The sequence below is a fragment of the Homo sapiens genome, chromosome 12, assembly GCF_000001405.40.
Source record: "Homo sapiens chromosome 12, GRCh38.p14 Primary Assembly".
Taxonomy (NCBI): domain Eukaryota; kingdom Metazoa; phylum Chordata; class Mammalia; order Primates; family Hominidae; genus Homo; species Homo sapiens.
In genome coordinates, this window is record NC_000012.12 from 77123375 (window position 1) to 77145052 (window position 21678).

Genomic DNA, 21678 nt, shown 5'->3' on the forward strand with positions numbered 1-21678 from the left:
AAGGGGAAAATCCCAGGATGTATTGTGGAAGCAGAATGAATAAAACTCATCAATAAATCAAATGTGGGATAAGGAGAGGTGTAAAAAATGACAGGAGCTATTTATAAAAATTATATTCTGGCTTAGAATAATATACTAAACATCAAGGGCATTGCTACCAATATTATAAAGGTAATAACTTTTTAATTAGACTTTATTATTTGAGTAGTTTTAGTTTCACAGCGACATTGGGTGCAAGGTACAGAGATTCCCCAATACTCTCTGCCCTCACACATATGTAGCCTCTCCCCATATTAACCTCTGCCACCAGAGTGGGACCTGTGTTATAACTGATAAACCTGCATGATGCATCATTTCATCCAGACTCCATAGTTTACATGGCCCACAGTTTACGTGGTTCACTCTTGGTGTTATACATTCTATAGTTTCAGACCAATTTATATTAACATGTACTCACTACTATAATATCATACACAGTAGTTTCATTGCCCTCAAAATATTCTGTGCTCTGCCCACTTATTGTTTTCTTACTGCTACTCACTGTAAACCACTGCTCTTTTTACTGTCTTCATAGTTTTGCCTTTCCCAGAATGTCATTTAATGGGAATTATACAGTATGTAGCCTTTTCAGATTGGTTTCTCTTACTTAGTAATATGCATTTAAGTTTCCTTCAATGTCTTTTCATGGCATGATAGCTAACTGCTTTTGGCACTGAATAATATTCCATTGTCTGGACAAATTACAGTTTATCTACCGATTCACCTACTTAAGGATGCCTCAGTTGTTTCTAAGTTTTGGCAATTATAAATAAAGCTGTTTTAAACATCCATGTGTAGGTATTTGTAGGGACATGGTTCCAATTTCTTTGGGTAAATACCAACGAATGTGATTACTGGATCATATGGCAAGGGTATATTTAGCTTTGTAAGAAACCACCAAACTGTCTTCCAAAGTGTCTGTGCCATTTGCATTCTCACCAGCAGTGAATGAAAGTTCCTGTTTCTCCATATTCTTGCCAGCATTTGATGCTGTTAAGGTTTTGGATTTTAGCCATTGTAATAGCTGTGTAGTAATTGTAAAGAAAACAACTGCTTGTTTGTTGATTGTTGCTTTTATTTGCATTTCCCAACATCAAAAAATTCAGATAATGAATTCATTTCTTTTTCCACTTGGAAGAAACATCTTGAAAAAATTTCAATGTTAAACAATACATGCTACTAAATTGTAAGAGAAACCATGAATTTAGAGATAAACCTTTAATCCAGAAGTAGCAAACACTGAAATAATTTGATACCTAAATTACAATTTTAGACCACGAAAATCAGCCAAAGGGACTTAAAAGTATAAATAAATTGGCCTAAGAATCTTTTTTAGGGACCATCCTGCTCTTTCCTTGAAGAAAAATTACCAGTCTTAAAGACACTTTGGTTTGGAAACACTATAATATTTGAGGTTAATCACCCTTCCAGAAAAAAGTCCCTATGGGGTTAAGGCAACAGTGTGGGTTACTAGAGAGAATTCAGGGATGAACAAAGAGATGGTTATTCTGAGTCAGAAAGGACTTGGTCATATATTCAGTTCTGGAAACATCAGTCATCCTTGCTGTGCAAATCAGTGAGAACAAGAAATATCTCTTGTGTTAGAGAAAGGATCTTAGTAAAAACGCCCACATGGGGCATTATCTTTGTCATAGAGAGAGAGAGAATTCTAATAAATAGCATTTGAAGTAGATGGATCCATGGCGACATGTCAACCTCCTTTGGTGCCCTAGGACCATTGGTAAGTGAAGGCCCAGAAGGCAACCTAAAGTGGGAAAGCAAAGAGCAAAAAAAGCTCAGATTTCTTAATTTTAACTATTACCTGATAAATGTAGTTCAATGAAATGGAATGAGCATCAACAAATGCTCCAGGGGCGCATAGAATTTCAGAGATTTCAGTAAGCTCCTGGAAGCTGACACAAAATCTGCAAGCTTATTGTAGGAGGGTCTGACACTCAGATGTAGATCTTTGGAGTCATGTAGATAAGGGCCTTCTTCAAGCAGGACCAGGGGCTGGGAGGGATTGGAGTACAGCAGTCATTGTAGAAAAAGAGCAATGAGGTCTGGGGAGCAGGAGGGAGCCTGGGGACTTAGACTTGAACTCACTGAGAATCAGGTGTGCAGAGGGCTTCAGTATCCCACAAGACTTAGTTGATGCTATCAAAAATGTGACTCAGCTCACAATAAATTACCACTTCACACCCACTAGGATGGCTAGAATAAAAAAGACAGTAAGTATTTTCAAGAATGTTGAAAAATTGAAACCCTCTTAGATCACTGGTGGGAATGCAAAATAATACAGCCACTTTGGAAAACAGGCTGGCAGTTCCTCAAATGGTTCAACATACTTACCATACGATCCAGCATTTCTACTCTTACGTATATAACAAAGAGAAATGAAAACATAAGTCTGCATAAAAACTTATATTCAAATATTTATAGCAGCATATTCATAATGGCCCAAAAGTCTATCAACTGATTAATGGATAAGTAAAATGTGGTATATCAATACAATGAAACATTATTTGGTGATTACAAGAAATTTACTTCTACATGGTACAACATGGTTGAACCTTGAAAACACTGTGCTAAGTGAAAGAAGCCAGTCACAAAGGAATACATATCGTATGATTCCATTTACATGAAATGTGCAGAATAGGTAAATCTATAAAGATAGAAAGTAGGCCAGGCACAGTGGCTCACACCTGTGATCCCAGCACTTTGGGAGGCTGTGGTGGGAGGATCCCTTGAAGCCAATAGTTCAAGACCAGCCTGGGCAAAAAGCAAGATTCCTACCTCTAAAAAGAAAAAAAGCTGGACATGGTGGCACTTTCCTGTAGTCTCAGCTACTTGGGAGGCTGAGGTGGGAGAACTGCTTGAGCCCAGGGGTTTAAGGCTGCAGTGAGCAATGATTGTGCCACTGCACTCCAGCCTGGGTAAAAGAGTAAGATCCTGTCTTAAAAAAAAAAAAAAAAAAAAAAAAGAAAAGAAAAAAAAAAGAAAAAAGAAAGTAGATTAGTGGCTTCCCAGGGCTTAGGGGGCATGGAAGGGTCAGAGACAAGAGCTACGGGGTTTGTTCTTTTTTGGGGGGGGGTGACAGAAATCTTCTGAAATTAGTTGTGCTGACAGATGCACAACTTTGTGACTATATTAAAAGTTATTGAATTATACTCTTTAAATCGTTGAATTGTGTGGTATGTGAATCATAACTTCCCCACTGCCTCCAAAATAAGTATGTCTTCACTAACATCCTATCTTTGTTTCCAGTACCTTAATCTGACAAGAGCGGGCAGGGCTGATTCCCCAAGAAGGGATTGAAGATAGAGGACAAAACCAGCCCCATTTTTATTTCAATAAAAACAAAGTAGAATTATAGGTGTTAATTTTGCAGAGTTTTAATGGGTTGATTGATTTGGTGTAAACTCTGGGGCTACTGGCAATAAAAATTCTTTGGAAAAAAGACAAAGTTGAAATAATGTCAGAGAGAATACATCAGGAAAAAGGTTGAAAATGTAAGTTCTATTAAACACAACATACTTAGAGGGGGAGAAAATCACAGAAGAGCCAGTTATGGCAGCTGAAAGAGGGGCAATGCTAAAGACTCACATTTTTAATTTAAAAATCAGTGTTCCCTGGGCAGCAAGAAATTTTTGCCTATACTATATACAAAAAATTCATTCAAAGAGAATAAAAGACCTAAACCTGAGAGCTAAAACTCTAAAACCTTTAGAAGAAAACATAAGGGAAATGCTTCATGACATTGAACTTTACAGTGGTGTCTTGGATATGATACCAAAAGCATGGACAATGAAAGAAAAAAAAACACATAGATTTCATCGAAGTAAAAACTTCTGTGCATTAAGTAACATTCTCAACAGAGTGAAAAGTCACAGAGGAAATATTTGCAAATCATATATCTGATAAGGGATTAATATCCAGAATAAATGAAGAATTCCTACAATTTAGCAACAAGAAACAAACAACCCAATTTAAAAAATAGACAAACGGCTTGAGTAGATATTTCTCCAAAGAAGATATACAAATGAACAATAAGCACATGAAAAATGCCCAATATCACTAAAAGCAGGGAACTGCAAACCAAAACCACAATGAGATACCACCTCATATGATTAGGATGACTAAAAAACCAGAGAATAACAAGTATTGACAAGGATATGGAAAAATTGGAACCCTTGTGCATTTGTAGTGGGAATGTAAAATGGTGAAGCTGCTATGGAAAATAATATGGCAGTTCCTCAAAAAATTAAAAATGCAATTACGATATGATCCAGGCATCCTACTTCTGTGTATTAAAAGCAGGGACTTGAATGGATTTTTATACACCCATATTTATAACAGCATTGTTCACAATAGCCGAAAGGTGGAAGCAATAAAAGTGTCTAGTGACAGATGAATGGATAAAAAATAATGGCATATACTACATACAATGGAATATTATTAGCCTTAAAAAGGCAGCAAATTCTGACACATGCTATAACATGCATAGATCTGGGAGACATTATGCTAAGTGAAATAAGCCAGTCACAAAAAGATGAATATTGTATTATTCAATTTATATGAGGTACCTAGATTAGTCAAAAATCATACAGACAGAAAATATAGGCCGGGCACAGTGGCACATGCCTGTAATCCCAGCACTTTGGGAGGCTGAGGTGGTGGATCATCTGAGGTCAGGAGTTCGAGACCAGCCTGACCAACATGGAGAAACCCCGTCACTACTAAAAATACAGGCGTGGTGGCACATGCCTGTAATCTCAGCTACTTGAGAGGCTGAGGCAGACGAATTTCTTGAACCTGGGAGGCGGGGGTTGTGGTGAGCCGAGATTGCGCCATTGCACTCTAGCCTGGGCAACAAGAGCGAAACTCCATCACAAAAAAAAAAAAAAAGAAAGAAAGAAAATAGAATGGTAGGTTTTAGAAATTGGGTGAAAGAGAGAATGGGGAGTCATTGTTTAATAGTTTTGGAGTTTCAGTTTGAAATGGTGAAAAAATTCTGGAGGTGACTTGTGGTGATGGTGGCACAACAATGTGAATGTACTAAATGCCACTGAATTACAACTGAAAAATGGCTAAAGTGGTAAATTTTTTGTTCTGTATATTTTATCTAAATACAAAACAGAAACAGGCTGGGCATGGTGGCTCACGCTTGTAATCCCAGCACTTTGGATGGCTGAGGCAGGTGGGTCACCTGAGGTCAGAAGTTTGAGACAAGCTTGGGGAACATGGTGAAACCCTGTCTCTACTAAAAATACAAAAATTAGCCAGGTACGGTGGCACATGCCTGTAGTCCCAGCTACTCAGGAGCCTGAGACAGGAGAATCGCTGAAACCTGGGAGACGGAGACTGCAGTGAGCTGAGGTCATGCCAATGCACTCCAGCCTGGGAAAGACAGAGCAAGACTCCATCTCAGAAAACAAACAAACAAACAAAAAATAGGCAGTGGGCTGGATTAGGTCTGTGAGCCATAGTTTGTGAATACCTGATCTAGGTGCACTCTTGATTCACACCAATTCAATAGCAGTGTGCCTGCCGTGGTTTGAATGTGTTCCCTCCAAAATTCAGGTGTTGCCAATGTGATGGCATTAAGAAGTGCAGCCTGTAAGAGGTGATTCAGCCCTGAGGGCTCCTCCATCATTAATGGGATTAAGGCCCTGGAGGCATTACATAGCCAGCCAGTATTTGGCTAGCTTGCCCTTCTGTCTTCTGCCTTCTAGGAACACAACAAGAAGGTCCTCATCACACCAAATACTGGCACCTTGGTCTTGGACTTCCAGCCTCCAGAACTGTAAGAAGTAATTTCTGTTCTTTATAAATTACACAGTCACAGGTATTCTGTTATAGCAGCACAAAAGAACTAAGACAGAGACCTTGGCAAATAAGCTAATCTAAATTGTGTTTTCCTTTCAGGAATAGTATCTGTCTTTATAGGAATGTGGTAAGATAAAATAAGATAATGCAATATTTACCAAGCTCCCTGAGGATAAAAATTCCCCAGAGTGCTTGTTAAAATAAGTTTGTAGACCCAGGAGGACAAGGGGTCTGGGAAGCTAAACAAACATTAGAAAAGCCTGAGAAGCAACAACAACAACAACAACAAAATGCACTTGTGCTTTACTATGCTTGTACTTTACTTTTTTTTTTTTTTTAAACCACAGCCACTACTGCCCGTAGTAAGTGGTCAGTAAATATACGTAGCTTGTTTTTAAAAAATTTCTAACTCCTTTGAACAAATTTCCTTATTAGAGCTTTTTGCTATTATGCTACCTCCCCTGCCCCTAAAGTCTAAGGTATAATATGAATTTTCACAAAGGCTGAGGAAATGCATTCTGTACACTGTTGAATAGTGAGCTTGATGCCTCTGGAAAGTCTCTGAGACACAGGTTATTTTCACAGGTGTCATTTATTAAGAATGATCAGACTTACCTCCCCAAGTCAAAGTTGGCTAACTGGAAGGCCTTCTGGGGACCGCCAGTAACTCACCTGGGTCAAGCAGGCCCTGCTGGAATTAAGAACTAAAGAGTGACTGACTTTCTGCAAGGGGATATCTGCCACTTAGCTCTTGCCCTTTCTGGCTGTGTGCAGCGTTTTCAAGAGAATACAGGCATTTGAACTTTAAAAACGTTATCAGCAAATTTTCATGATTTTTATTAGCTTATTGGCCTCCAGGTTTTCATTTTGGATCAATTCATTCAATGATGGTTAGGCTCTCACTTCTCTGGCTGAATCTTAGAGGTAAATGACCAGTGAAAGAGCAGTGCTTGCTCCTGGGAACTAAAGATGTTTAAGAATCCAAGTGTTTAGTATTATGGACAATGAAGGAAGTTAAACTAACTACCCAACTCCCCATTCCAGATAGCCTATGTAAGGTTTTCCCCGGGTGGCCTCACAGTTGAGGCATTCTCCCTCAAGAGATGAAATGTTAGTAAGTCCCCAAGGTACAATGCGATGTGCTTGGATTGGATTCCTGCCAATGGCTCTGTCCGGGAAAAGCAGATGGGGCTGAGTTAGGTATTAGGGCGTCTTTCAACTGAGAAGCTTGTGACAAAAAGAGCAGTCTCACCTCCTGACCAAAGCTCAGTTTTCCTATAGTGTTGCCACTGCCCTCACCTACCACCATCACTAGCCTCGCTCAAATTCCTGTGCACCAGAGCGGGGCCCTGTCCCTTAGGGTTCATGCAGAAGCAAGAACTTCTCTTTCACTGGTTATTTACAAGGAATTGGTGAACCCCTTATTGTGTTGGAAAAGTAAACACAAAACCTGTCATTTAAGTTCCCAAATTTATTCTAATTATCTGGTATTTTGATTTATGAAGAACAGAGGCTGCACTGATAAAGGACTGGAAAAAACACTGGGCTGGGAGCAAATGCCAGACCTGCTATGTAATGGATATGAGGTTTTGGGCAAATTCCTTAATGGCACTAAATCTGCTTTTTCATTTGTAAAGTAGGGATCATAGTACCTACCACAAGAATATCTTTAAAGGTCATATAATATTTTCTTCGCTGAAATGTCTTCTATTGTGCCTAGAGCTCAGTAAGCAGTGAGTGAACATTTATAGAATCAGAATGATGGAATTGCTGCTTTTAAAATAGCAGATATTGTGAGTTGAAAGGTAATGAAATAAAACCACTTTTAGATTTCCAATTTTTAAGTTGATGTTTTATATAATACCTTAATGAAAGTTCTTAGGTACACTTTTTCATAAAATTTTTGTCTTGAAATAATTGTTGATTCATGTGCAGTCTTAAGAAATAATACAGAGAGTTTCCATATGCCTTTTATCCAGTTTCTTCTAATGGCAACATCTTATATAACTATAGCGTAGTATCACAGCTGGGAAATTGCTATTGATAAACTCCATCAACCTTATTTAGATTTTATCAAGTTTACATGCACTCATTTATTATCTAGTTCTATGCATTTTTTATATGTGTGGATTATAAAGCTCGAGAGCCAAGATACAGAGCAGTTCCATCACAAGGGTTCCTTATGATACTCTTTTATAGTCATATCCATTTCTCTCCTTCCCTCAGCCTCTAGCAACCACCAATCAATTTCCTTTCTCTAATTTTGTCATTTGAAAAATGTTATATAAATGGAATCATATGGTATATAATTTGAGATGGACTGTTTTTCATTCAGAACAATTCCCTTGAGATTCATCCAAGTTGTTGCATTTATCAACAGTTCATTTCTTTTTATTGCTGAGTAGTATTTCATGATTTGGAAAGACCAAATATAGTACTAAGTACCATAGTTTGTTTATCTCTTCACTTGTTGAAGAGCATTTGGCTACTAGGAGTTAATTTCTGGCTATTAGGAGTAAAACTGCTGTGAATATCCATGCATAGATTTTTGTGTGTGTACGAATCTAAATTTTCACTTGTACCTTATTTTTTTATTTTGTTAATTCATTATTTAGTGGTGCCCAGTATTTTTAGCTAATGAATAAGGAAAATATACAAATTAGCAGTGAATATTCTATATTTGTTGGTAGAATTTTTTTGGTTGAAATAGGTATAAATTTGCCATTTTGTTGATAGAATATAATTAAATTATATTGCTTGACACACAGGACCTTGTATATGAGCTACATATATATATATAATTTATAAATATCATATATCTGTGCCAGCTGCTGGTTAAAATGCATGGCTGCATTTACACAGGAAAGATGTCTATAGGCCAATAAACACATTTGCTTGCAAACTAGCTCCCAAGCAACATACTCTTACAACTGTAGCATGTGCTGGAATTAAATGCCGTATTACAAATAAGTACAAATATTTGCACAGTTTCCTTTATATATCCTATTTCTCCAATTCAGATTTCACAGAAGTGTTAAGTAAATATAATACTTGGCACATGCCCAGACCACATCAATTATTACTCATCTAGTGCCACTAAATGAGAAGCTCTTTGCATGGGTGATAACTGATAAGGTTACAGCAACTAAACAGTTGTTTAATAATATTAGCAAATCCATATGCAATGCTTATCTTATACCAATCGCTGTGTTGATGAGTTTATATGCCTATGCTGCTTATTAATGTGAAATAATCTTCACTAAAATCCTAGGCTATATATACTATCACTAAATTCATCTTATAGCTAGAAATAGGGAAGCACAGAGTGATAAGTAACTTTTCCAATGTCTCATAGCTAATAATTGGTGGAACTAGGATGAACCCAGATAGACTTGTTCCAAAGACTATCATTTAACTACTATACTCTTTACAAGATTAGGATTAGCAAATCCAAATAAGCAAACAAACCAAAATAAGATTTTTTTTGAGACAGGGGTCTCCCTCTGTTGCCTAGGATGGAGTGCAGTGGCACAATCTGGGCTCACCACAGCCTCCACCTCCTGGGCTCAAGCGATCTTCCCATCTCAGCCTCCTGAGTAGCTGGGACTACAGGAATGTGCCACCACACCTGGCTAATTGTTATTGTATTTTTTTTTTGTAGAGACGGGGTTTCACCAGGTTGCCCAGGCTGGTCTCAAACTCCTGAGCTCAAGCAATCCACCTGCCTAGGCCTCCCAAAGTGCTGGGATTACAGGTGTGAGCCACCATGCTTGGCCACAATAAGATGTTTTAATTAAAATTGAGGACCTGGATTCTTTGCTTGTCAGGATGAAACAAGAACTCATTCTCTCAACTAAACTAGGTTTTTAAAGAAATGTGGTATAGTGGGGATTTTCAAATACAGCCTGAGTCTTGCTTATCTTAGAATGAGAGACATCAGGGCAGGTTCACTCATGGTCTGTCAGGAAGAAGGCCTGAGAAAACTCTCCAGAATGAGCTTATTTCAAGAGAACAGACAATTAACAGGCAAGCTGGATAATTAGAAGTGGGAGCCAATTTTAAATACAACATATTGTCTGCTATTGAGATTTGCTTTTCGGCATAATGCTCATGAATTTATCTCTAGGAAACTGAGGGCTAAAGATGAAAATGGGAAGAACCCATTTTCACCAAAAACTTAGTAACACAGCAAGATCAGTAAGCAAACTGTATTCGTTCTGGTTAAAGAAGCATGGTACAAAAAAAAAATGAAGGGATTAAAAAGGTGAGTACAGAGACTATGGAACTTTGGTATATTTAGGGCACCAACATATTAATAACACTTGCAGCTTCAACCAAACCCTGCCCCCAGAACCATGAGAATAGTCAATATCTTTTATGGGAGCATCTGGCAAAATCCAGAATGAAGCTCTGGCTCTGATGTCTGGGGCCAGTGGTTTTTATCAGTAGTATGAGGCAGTGCTTTTTGTCATTAGGTTATAGTGCCCTTGGCACAGATATCAGCACCACGGACAGCAGACGCTGATGGTGTACTAGGGTACCTCCCTTACAAGACTTCGCAAGTCAGTGGCAGGTTCAACACTGGACACTCCAAATGGGGGCTGAAGAAGTGTGGAGAAAGAATGAGGGGGCACCAAGCAGAAGTGGAGAAGATGGTTTTTTGCCTGCTCATTTAAGAGAAACCTCAAAAGGGCACACAGAAAAATTTGAAGATAGAGAAGGAGAGCTTTTAGAGAATGGAGGCTCTAAAAAATGGTGGAGCTGCATCTGGAGAGGTACTGTTTATTATCATTAATTTGATATCATTGTTATTATTTGTGTGAGTCTGGTACGTTGATGCAGCAAGGGAAAATCCAGGTTACAAATGTAGTTCCCTTCTCTAAGAATAGGTTAGGAAGCATTTTGTTGTGTATATTTTTAATATAGTCTTGACTAAAGACACAGAGGAGTGTTTGATTTAGAGCTCAATGGTGTAATGAATGAAAGTGTATTTGGATTCAGAAGCAGTACTCTACATCTTCCTTTATTTTGCCTTAAGTATGAGAGGGATGCAAAATACATACAAGCAGTATTTTCCAGTGATTTAGAGAATTCCTTAGAAAATGACCAAGTAACAGGAAATGTTCTGGTTATCTATTGCTGTATAACAAACAATTCAATCTTAGTGGTATAAAAAATAACCATTTGTTTATTGTTTATGGTATTTTATGGCAGGCCAACAGAAAGACTAGACTGGAAACGAGGTTAGCAGCTGACACTTCCATCCACAGGTAGAATTTCTTCTTTTTTTGGAAAACCTCAGCTCTGTTTGTAAAGCCTTTTAACCAATTGAATAAGGCTAGCCTAGGTTATCCAGACAATCTTTACATATAGTCACCTGATTATAGATGTGATGTTAATCCAATCTATAAAGTTACCTTCACAGCAACATCTATATTAGTGTTTAATTGAACTGGGTACCAGATTCTAGCCCAGTTTGACACACACACACACACACACACACACACACACATACACACACACACGCACATACCTTGTCTCTGCTCCATGATGCTTGCAGTTTCACTTGGGAAAGCTCAAATTGTTGGAGTGATCCACACTGCTGGGGAACCACTGGGGGGCTTCTTCATTCATGAATTTGGTACCTGACCTGAAGGCTGGGCTCAGCTACACCTGTTATCTGGAGCTCCTGCAACTGGCTTCTCCATATGGCTTCAGCTTCTCACAGTGTGATAACTGGGTTCTGAGAAGGAGTAAGTGGGAGCTGGGCAGCCTCTTCTGATCTAGCCTCAAAAATGCAGCATCACTTCTACACATTTTATTGGTTATAAACATGTCATCAAACCTGGCCCAAATCCAAGAGGAGGGGAATTAAACTCCATATTTGATGGAATAGTGGCAAGGTCACATTGCATGAGAGTATGTAGGACAAAGGATATTGGTGTGGCCATCTTCTGAAAATATAGTCTGTCACAGGATAGGAAAATGAACAATGCTTCTGCCAAATAAAATAAAAGATATTGTTAGACATTTACTAACTGTTTACCAACTCTCCTCAGACACTCAAAAATGGCTGAAATTAATAGCACTAGAAATTGATCTCTGTAAACATATTGCTCTTTCTTTGTCTTCAAATACCTATCAAGTTAGAGGCTTGTTATTAAAAATGTGACAATTTGAGACTGGTCTGGAATTGACCCACTTAACTTCGGTTACCATTTGGGAGTGGGGCAGACATTGGAAACTATATTAATGATCTGCTGTATAACATATTACCATAGACTTAGTGGCTTAAAATAACACATTTATTAGCTCACAGTTTCTGTGACTCAGGAGTCTAGGCATGGTTTGGCTGGGTCTTCTATCATAGGGTTTCTTGCAGGACTACAGTCAAAGTGTCAACCAGGGCTGGAGTCTCATTTGGGGCTTAACTGAGGAAGGATCCACTTCTAAGCTCGCATGATTGTTGGCAAGATTGGTTCTTTGTGGGATGTTGGACTGTGAGTTTTGGTTTCTATCAGGTTATTTGCCTGAGGTCACTTTTAGTTTCTTGCCATATGGATCTCTCCATATGCAATTTCACTACATCAAAGCTAGCAAGAGACAGAGTCAATGATAAGAGTCTGCTAGCAAGATGGAACATAAGATTCTATGTAACCTAATCACAGAAATGGATCCCATCACTTTTGTCATATTCTATTGATTAGAAGCAAGTAGTAGTTTTCACTCATACTGAAGAGGAGGAATTATACATAGGTATGGTTACCAGAAGGTGGGAACAATTTGGGGCTCTGTCAGTATTTTTTCATTACAGAAACATTAGACAAAATTGCTGGAGCTTTGGAGAAGTCCCCTCTTCCAGATCAGTCTCTGTGTCAGGAAGCATTTGATATAAAGGTGAGGGTGGGAGTTCAATCCAAGATGATAAACAATTCTAAATGCATCATTGGGGAAAAAAATGAATCATCTGAAATTCCAGGTGGGTAGACAAATAGGCAGCCAGAAAGTCAGACTAATAGACAAGAAATTGGCTTGAAATGTTTCAGCAATGCCTGACAGGGATTAAGGGGCAGATCGTGGTTCCTGAAAGGAAGCTGACAAGAGCAAGCCAGAGAAACCCCATTTCTACAGGAACTGTGGGTCTAAGTGGTTTACTGAAGTGGAAGCTCACAACTAGGGGAACAAAGCAAAGGCCCATTTACTAGAATTGTAGAATAATGGAGTTTAAAAATATCAGAGTTTCCATCTAGGCTAAGAATTCTGTGAGGCCAGAGATATTGTGTCTTGGAATATATGACTTAATATGTTAAATGTTGATTGTAGGAGGTGACAGAGTGGAGAACTTGCCCCTCTCTGGGAGGAAAAGCACCTATGGGCTCTCTGCTTATTGTCACTGGCTGAGGCCACCCTACAATAGCTGTGAAAAGAACCCATGTGGTACCTGTATGTGAGGAAGCATGGTGGTGAGGTATGGGTGCTGTTGGCTGCTGCACTTTTTAACTACAGATAGAGGCAATAGATGACCATGAGGTGGATACCAAACTTCATCTACTCAACTCATATTCCTTCTGCTATTCCTGCTGGACCACAAGCTGAAGGTGGCCCATTTGGATACCATTTTTTTTTATTATACTTTAAGTTTTAGTGTCCTTTGTAGGGACATGGATGAAGCTGGAAACCATCATTCTCAGCAAACTATGGCAAGGACATTTGGATACCATTTTAACCTCTCAGTTAGATCATCTAACATTGACCTAAAGTTGATAGTTAACCTGTTTCCTATTTTTAAAGATAAAAGCCTCTTAATATAAACTCTTTCCTGACCTGGAAAGACACCTGGAAGCTGTTGAAATATTTTCCGGCCTTTTTGAAAGGCACATATTTGTCTGTGTAGTCCTACTCTGCATCAGAACATAAGGATAAAAAACCCTGAAGGTCTTCTAGGTATGCATAGACAGTGAAAAAGTTTGTAAAGGGACAGTTAGCTAATGCATGGTCCAGGAAAAGCCTGCAGCTGCCTCTAAAACAAATGAAATTGAAAAGGAACTTTCTGGTGATGTCAGCTGGAAAAAACAACTGAGAATCATCTTTGTTTTCACCTTTCTTTGAAAGCTAGAGCATATTTTATGGAACAAGTAGCTTTTTGATTGTATCTAAGTAAAATTTCTGCATGAATTCTTTGAGATAGTAATAATATGTTTGTGTTGGATACTTATTTGTGGTTGGTAGTTCTCCAGTAATTTAGTTGTAATAGCTTTTTAAGGCATCTATGCTGAGACACCTAGTTTCTCCAAATTGTTTCTTTAAAATATTGCTTTATAGTTATAACCCTTTTTCAATTGTACATAATACTATTTTCTATTTAGTTATAGATGTCCTGTTTTTTTTTAAAGGGAATTTTTATTGACGTGTAACACATACATCAAAGTTTGTAAAAATTGTAAATATACAGCTGGACAAATGATCATAAAGTGAATGCTCCTAGTTAAGCACTATTCAGATTAAGAATTAAAATATTACCATAATCCAATTATTTTTATTTCCTCCTTTCTCTACAAAGAAAATCAGTATCTGGACTTTGATAGATGAGACTCAAGAAAATTATTCTTACAAGTTGCAAAGAGAAACGGGGCCTAAATTAAAAACAAAGGAACGGAGTCAAAATGTGTATTGATGGTTACGTTTGTAAGAAGAATAGAGAAGAAGAAAAAGTAACACATGACTGCCTGGTTTCTCACTTGGGTAATGAGATGGGTGATGTCAATACAGCAGGAGGGGGTCTCAGGTTAGGAAAAGGGGGAGGACATGACGAATTCACTCTGGACAATGTTGATTTTGAGATGTCTTTGGGAAATACAGGTACCTGCATGAGTATGGAGCCTAATGATACCATTAAGGGCTGGAGATGAATAAGATTTATAGTTATCAGTCTGAAATAGGTGGTTGTAGAAACCATGAAATCAATAGCTAACTCAGAGGAGATAGTGCATGTAGAGTGGGGAGGAGAGTGGGCCAAACACAAGGCACCAAGATATAAAGGACAAACAAAGGGAGAAGGAATAATAAATGAACTCAGCAAACTATTATCAGAGACGTAGGAAGAAAAGCAGGACAGAGAACCGTAATCAAACCAACGAGATAAGTATTTTGAGGAAGGAGACACAGCAGTGTTAAAGTTAGAGAAAAGATTTCTTAGAAAAATGTATTCATTACATTGGGACATTAGAACCTCATGGTTTCTGTTGAGTAGAAGGGAAAGAAGCCAGATTTCAGTGATCTGAGAAATGAATATACCTTGCTCTTGAGATGTTTAGATAAGAAAGAAAAGAGAAAAATTGCAGGGCTTAAAGCGACTGAAGGACCAAAGTACATTTAAAAAATTATGGGTGTTTCACTGCACGTAGGCTGGAAAGTCAGGGCTGTATTGTGGCGGAAGGAACTGGGGCTGGGCTGATCTTGAAGAAAGAGAGGTCAAAAGGTTAATAGATTGAGAAAATTTGAAGCTGTGCTCAGAGATTGCTAGAAGAGTAGCAATTCTGGCTAATTGCAGGATTCTTTGCTTTCTGTATAATGCTTTTCTGAAATATATGAATTTTTATAGTAGTACAGTATAGCATTATTCTTATAATCAGCATAGCATTATAATCAGAAAAGCAATAAAGATTAAAATAAAGATGTGATGAAAAACACTGAATTTTCTGTAATGATTTAAGAAAATCAGAGGAAGTAAAGTCCTGAAAATATGAAATTAGATGACTGAATATTCTTCCTACACATTTGTTACTTAAATGAAAAATGCTTATTTAAAAACCAAGAATTAATACTATTTGTGTAAGGCATCATTCTGATTTTTTTAAGTTCATAAAGGAGCATTCCTTGGTAGGAAGACAGTTTTCTAAATATCTAGATCATGTAATTCATTAGAAAACACTATTCTAAGAAGACTGCATTGAAGCATTAATCATCTATTATTTTCTTTCTCTGCAAAGTATTATTTGTAGCATAATTTGCTTGATTCAGTACTATGTTTAATAATTCCAAAAATAACCAATTGATTCTGGCAAAAATTTGACAAGGGAAAGGATTTGGCAGAAAGTAATGTTATACTTCATGAACTAGTGCCTCGTACCACTCAATCATTTGTTTTCCCTTTGCTAGGTTGTCCCTTTTGGTCTAGCTCTGCAGCTAGAAAATGAAACATGGAAAATGACAAACTATTCATTATACATAAATGATGGTAAAAGCAAGACCCTTAAGTAAAGTCACAGAATATTACAAAATCATGCAAAGTTCTAGTGACCTTTCTCCACCCTCCTTTCCTTTCCTCTTTCCTCCTTCCTGCACTGGACAGAATTGGGACAGAATGTCCAATGTCCTGCTGAGCAGTGTACTAAGATAATTGTACTAAATCTGAAGTAGTCAGGTCCAGCCTTTGCTGTTCTGAGATGGACACTGTGATACCTCCATGATCCCTGTATCCAGGATGGCCAACAGTCTTTATTTTGGTTGCAACTCTGATCACTTGGTCTTGGCTGCTTGCGGGGACACTGTAACTAATGGGCTGAAAGTAGAAAGAGTGTTGTGATTGTGGTCATGTCTGGCAAAGGCAGATAGGGTAATGGTGATCTGTAAACTGAAAGGTAAAAATCACAGTGCCTCTGCCCTGGAAGACAGCACACCATGGAGATACTGCTCCTTGGACCAGCATAAGCTCATGATGGGCACAGTCTGAGAGGTTTGGGATCAGGGGATCTTCTTGGGTGGGAGAAGATGTGACAGGAAATTCCCTGGATCTGGGCTCAAGTCTTGGTGCTGCTACCTTCCAACTGTGTGACATTGAGTAATTCATGTAATCTTTCATCAGCAGTAAAGAATGAGGGTAATAATAATTTTCTTTTCTTGTGTATCAAAGTATTTAAAAGGATTACTTGGTTCTGTATATTGGTGAGACATGCCTTTGTAAACTCTCAAGCACTATTCAAATTAAAAAACATACTAGTAATGGCATAGCTATGACATTCACAATTAGCATTTATTGCATTTTGCATTAAATTATAGCTATATGAGGGTTACATAACAAGTGCTTTGAGAGATCATTTCCTGTTGAAGAGGCAAGGAAGGCTTCATGGAAAAGACAGTGTTTCAGCTGGCCCTTGAAGTTTAGATAGGAATTTGGCAGTTGCAGATAGAAAGACTCTTCCAGTAGAGAAAACTGTGTGAGCCAAGGCCTAAAGTAAAGAAAATACAAACTATTTAAATAATAAACAAACCATGGAAGTTTATATGGTTCTTTATGATTTGCAATGTATTTTCACTGATTGGGAACAATAATTAATGCAATTTTTCTATAGCATGGAGTGGAGATAGATACAGGCTGGAGATAGATAAGGTTGGAGATCAGTTTAGGATCATATTTTGAAGAAATGTGAATGCGTTTTAAAGAAATTTACATAGAAATGGACATCTAGATAAAAAATAGAATGACAAGAGATTCAAATTCTTAGTTGTTACAGTGGAAATACAGTATTGATTTTGTATGTTGATAGGTTATATGTTTCACAGGTTTTATTTACACCTCTTTTCTAAGATACTTTCTTATAACTGCACAATTTGCAAGTCTTTAACGATGCCTTTTGTACCTAATCCTTCTTCTTTACCTGGGTATATGTGCTTCGTACCTTGGTACTTTGCCAAAGGGCTGCCAGATTCACTTACTGCTCTGATCATCCCATTTCAAACTCCTGCAAGGATTTTCCATTGCTTTCTAAATAAGGTTTGGACTTCTTAGCTTAGCATTCAACTTATCCCACTGCAACTTGCCTTTCAAGTCCCATCTCTGATTATTCTGACCCTGTATTTCAACCATTCTGTTTTCTTTCTCTCTTCTCAAAACACAGCTTGACCATTCATGCCATTCTCACCTATCCACACAGTCCCTTCACGTATGTCTAAGTTGTACCTATTATTTAAGAATGAACTCAAATGCTAGTTGCTTCCCTGGCTCTCACACCTGGAATTGATTACTCTTGCCTTTAACCCATAATAGCAAACACTTATAGTTAGCTTACTATGTGCTCGGCACTATACTCAACCCTTTACATAAATCAACTCATTTCACCCTCACAATGCCTTCTATAAGTCAGATATAATTGTTTCTAATTTACAGATGGGAAAACCAAGTCATATCACCCAAGGCTACACAGCAAATAACTGGTGCAGTTGTCTAACTGAGACACATTGACATCAGTATTTGTGCTGCTAAATGCTATGTTATGCTGTCTCTTCTGCAGTCTTCTTTCTTATGAAACTTAATATTTCTCATTTGTTTGCTTGTAGATTTACCCTACTTGTCTGCTTTTCCTGATCCCAGGCCTTTTACCTTGGTGAATTCACCTGTAGCAATTGGAAATGCATTTATTATGAGAGAACTCTGATATCCTGTTCTGATGATGGCCAAAGTCCTCGTAATTTTTGTCGTAGTCTCATCTTGGTCCTTAACTCTTGCTCCGTGGCTGCATTTACCTTACCTTTGTCTTTGTCTCATATTTTGGCATTTGTATTTGCTTCTTGTACCTGTTGACAAATTTAATTTCTCATATTTTTTCTTCTTTTCTTTGGGCACATTTTGAGACATTTCGGCCCTTCTTAAGTTGCTGTTATATCTGGCTCTAGCCCACAGATCCTGGGCTGACACGGGCCCACATGGCTGGCACTTTCTCCTCATCTTTTCTTGGGAGAAAGAGTAAGAATCTGCTAGACTACACATTTCTAAAGGCAGGGATTGTGTCAGCCTTGTTTCCCACACAATAAGGATGGTGTTTTGTACTTAGAAGCTCAATAATCTTTTGCTGAATGAAAGAATGAGCAAATGAAAGAGGCCACTGTCTGCATAGTCTTCCTTGACTGCCAGTTGAAACTTCTCTGAGGAGTTTCACTCTTAACCTATTTCTTGTGTTACCTTTATGTTTAACTCAGATTCAGCCTCAGGTCTCCAAATCTTGAAGATCCTGGTATTAGAAAGCGGAGTTAAAATAGCAGGTTTTACATTCTCACCAACAGTGTACAAGGCTTCCAATTTCTCTGCATCCTTGCCAACCCTTGTTTTCTTTTGTCTTTTTGATAATGGCCATCCTGAAAGGTGTGAGGTATATCTCATTGTGGTTTTGATGCGCATTTCTCTGATGATTAGTGATGTTGAGTGTGTTTTCATATACCTGTTGGCCATTTCTTTGGAGAAATGTCTATTCAAGTCCTCTGCCAATTAAAAAAGTTTTTTGTAATTGACACATAATAATTGCACATGTTTATGGGGTACATTGTGATGTTTCAATATATGTATACATTGTATAATGATCAAATCAAGGTAATTAACATATTCATCATCTCAAACCTTTATCTTTTCTTTGTGGTAATAACTTTCAGGATCCTCTTTTTTTAGCTATCTTGAAATATATGATACGTTGTTATTTGCTATAGTTACCCTACTATGCAAAAAGATGCCAGAATTTATTCTTCTTTTCTAACTAAAACTTTGTACCCATTGACTAGCCCCTCCTCATTCTCTTCTTTCCTTTTCCTCGCAATACAGTACCGAGCAAAACTATCCTTCAAATATGAAACAGAGATAGACTTTCCCAGACAAACAAAAACTAAGGGAATTCATCAACACCCAACTTATCTTATAAGAAAAGCTAAATGCGCTGGGCATGGTGGCTCATGCCTATAATCCCAGCACTTTGTGAGGCCGAGGTGGGTGGATCACCTGAGGTCGGGAGTTCAAGACCAGTTTGACCAACATGGAGAAACCCCATCTCTACTAAAAATACAAAATTAGTTGGGCATGGTGGTGCATGTCTGTAATCCCAGCTACTTGGGAGGCTGAGGCAGGAGAATCACCCGAACCCGGGAGGCAGAGGTTTTGGTGAGCTGAGATTGCGCCATTGCACTGCAGCCTGGGCAATGAGAGCGAAACTCTGCCTCGAAAAAAAAAAAAAAAAAAAGAAAAGCTAAATGGATCTTTTTTTCAATCTGAGAGAAAAGAACATGAATGTGTACCAAGAAAACATCTGAAGGTATAAAACTCACTGGTGAAAGTAAATACGCCAACAAATTCAGACTATTCTAATACTATAATTGTGGTATGGATATCTTTATACACTTATATCTTGAGTATGAAGATTAAAAGACAAAACTATTAAAGAATATCACTACAAAAGTTGGCTAAGATATACAAAATGTAGAAGATGTAAATTGAGATATCAAAAAGTCAAAATGTAGGGGGAAGGAATGGTGTTAAAGTTAGAGATTTTCTTTTGTGATAAAATCAACAGTTAAAAATAACAGAAAGCATTTTAAAATCAGGTTGTTAGTTTTTTGCTATTGCATTGTAGGAGTTCCTGACATATTTTAGATATTTTAACCCCTTATCAGATATACAGTTTGCAAAGATTTTCTCCCAATCTATAGGTTACCTTCACTCTTTCCCACCCCTGGTAACCACCATTTTGCTTTCTGTTGCTTTGAATTTGACTACTTTAGATACCTCATATGTGTAGGATCATACAGTATTTGCCTTTTTAAGAAGAAGGTAGATTTTGAGCTAGGTCTTTAAAGACAGGTGGGACTAAACAGGCAGAGATAATAGAAGCTAAATAAGGTAAATAAATTAAGATAGTGTGAAAAGGTATGTTTCCCTAACATGTGCTGAGAGAGGTAGGAGCCCAAGAATAATGCTTCTTATTCATTTTCCTCAGGGCAAATTTCTCTTAAGTTGTGCATATTTTGGGTGCTGTTCACTGTGTCTGCCTATATCTGACTTTACCTGGAAGTTCTTAATTCAGGGAGAATCATCATTTGGGCATTAGTTATATCTAAGGCTCATTAGTGTAAGTCATGGTCTAGAGGGCAAAAAAGTACCTGCCTAGGGCCAAAAAGCTTCGATACTTGGGTTTCTTATATTTAAACATCAACTGTTACAGAATGGAGTATTTTGATTTGGCTTTGAAATGACAGGTTATGTTCTATTGTTTTAAAGAAAAAAAGCATTGCTATAAGCAATCTACATACAGGTTTATGTAATAATGAATGCAGGTACATGTATAACAAATTTCATCAGGTGTTTTACTGTTGGATTGTTCATTTAATCATCAATTCCACGTCATTAGGAATTGGTAAATATTTTTATTTATGGTTTGCAAGAGACAAGGCTTTGACATTGTTATGGTTCTTTTAGGCACAATATCTTCTCCTTGAGTTTTGTGCTCAATCCTACTGAACCGCTTATGTGATTTCCCTTCATGTTACAGCAGAAATAGACCTCACATGCGGGACTATCAGAAGTTGTTATGTTGCCTTAGTGTGAATTAGAAAATACGGATTCTTCATTCCCTTTGAATACTGGCACAAGACAGGGATGCCCTCTCTCACCACTCCTATTCAACATAGTGTTGGAAGTTCTGGCCAGGGCAATCAGGCAGGAGAAAGAAATAAAGGGTATTCAATTAGGAAAAGAGGAAGTCAAATTGTCCCTGTTTGCAGATGACATGATTGTATTTCTAGAAAACCCCATCGTCTCAGCCCAAAATCTCCTTAAGCTGATAGGCAACTTCAGCAAAGTCTCAGGATACAAAATCAATGTGCAAAAATCACAAGCATTCTTATACACCAATAACAGACAAACAGAGAGCCAAATCATGAGTGAACTCCCATTCACAATTGCTTCAAAGAGAATAAAATACCTAGGAATCCAACTTACAAGGGATGTGAAAGACCTCTTCAAGGAGAACTACAAACCACTGCTCAATGAAATAA

The 21678-nt window shown here is 37.8% G+C and overlaps 1 long non-coding RNA gene across 2 annotated transcripts in view; it reads left to right on the forward strand.

Moving 5' to 3' along the window:
• The window catches only part of LOC105369853 (uncharacterized), a 29698-nt gene that overhangs the window by 968 nt on the left and 7052 nt on the right, over positions 1-21678 (forward strand). The window contains exons 2-4 of one of the 2 annotated variants that reach the window (XR_945118.2): positions 5775-5845; positions 10344-10643; positions 11083-11138. This is a non-coding gene — a long non-coding RNA (uncharacterized LOC105369853). The remainder of the gene's footprint in view (positions 1-5774; positions 5846-10343; positions 10644-11082; positions 11139-21678) is intronic. The other variant, XR_945119.1, reaches the window with a different exon arrangement.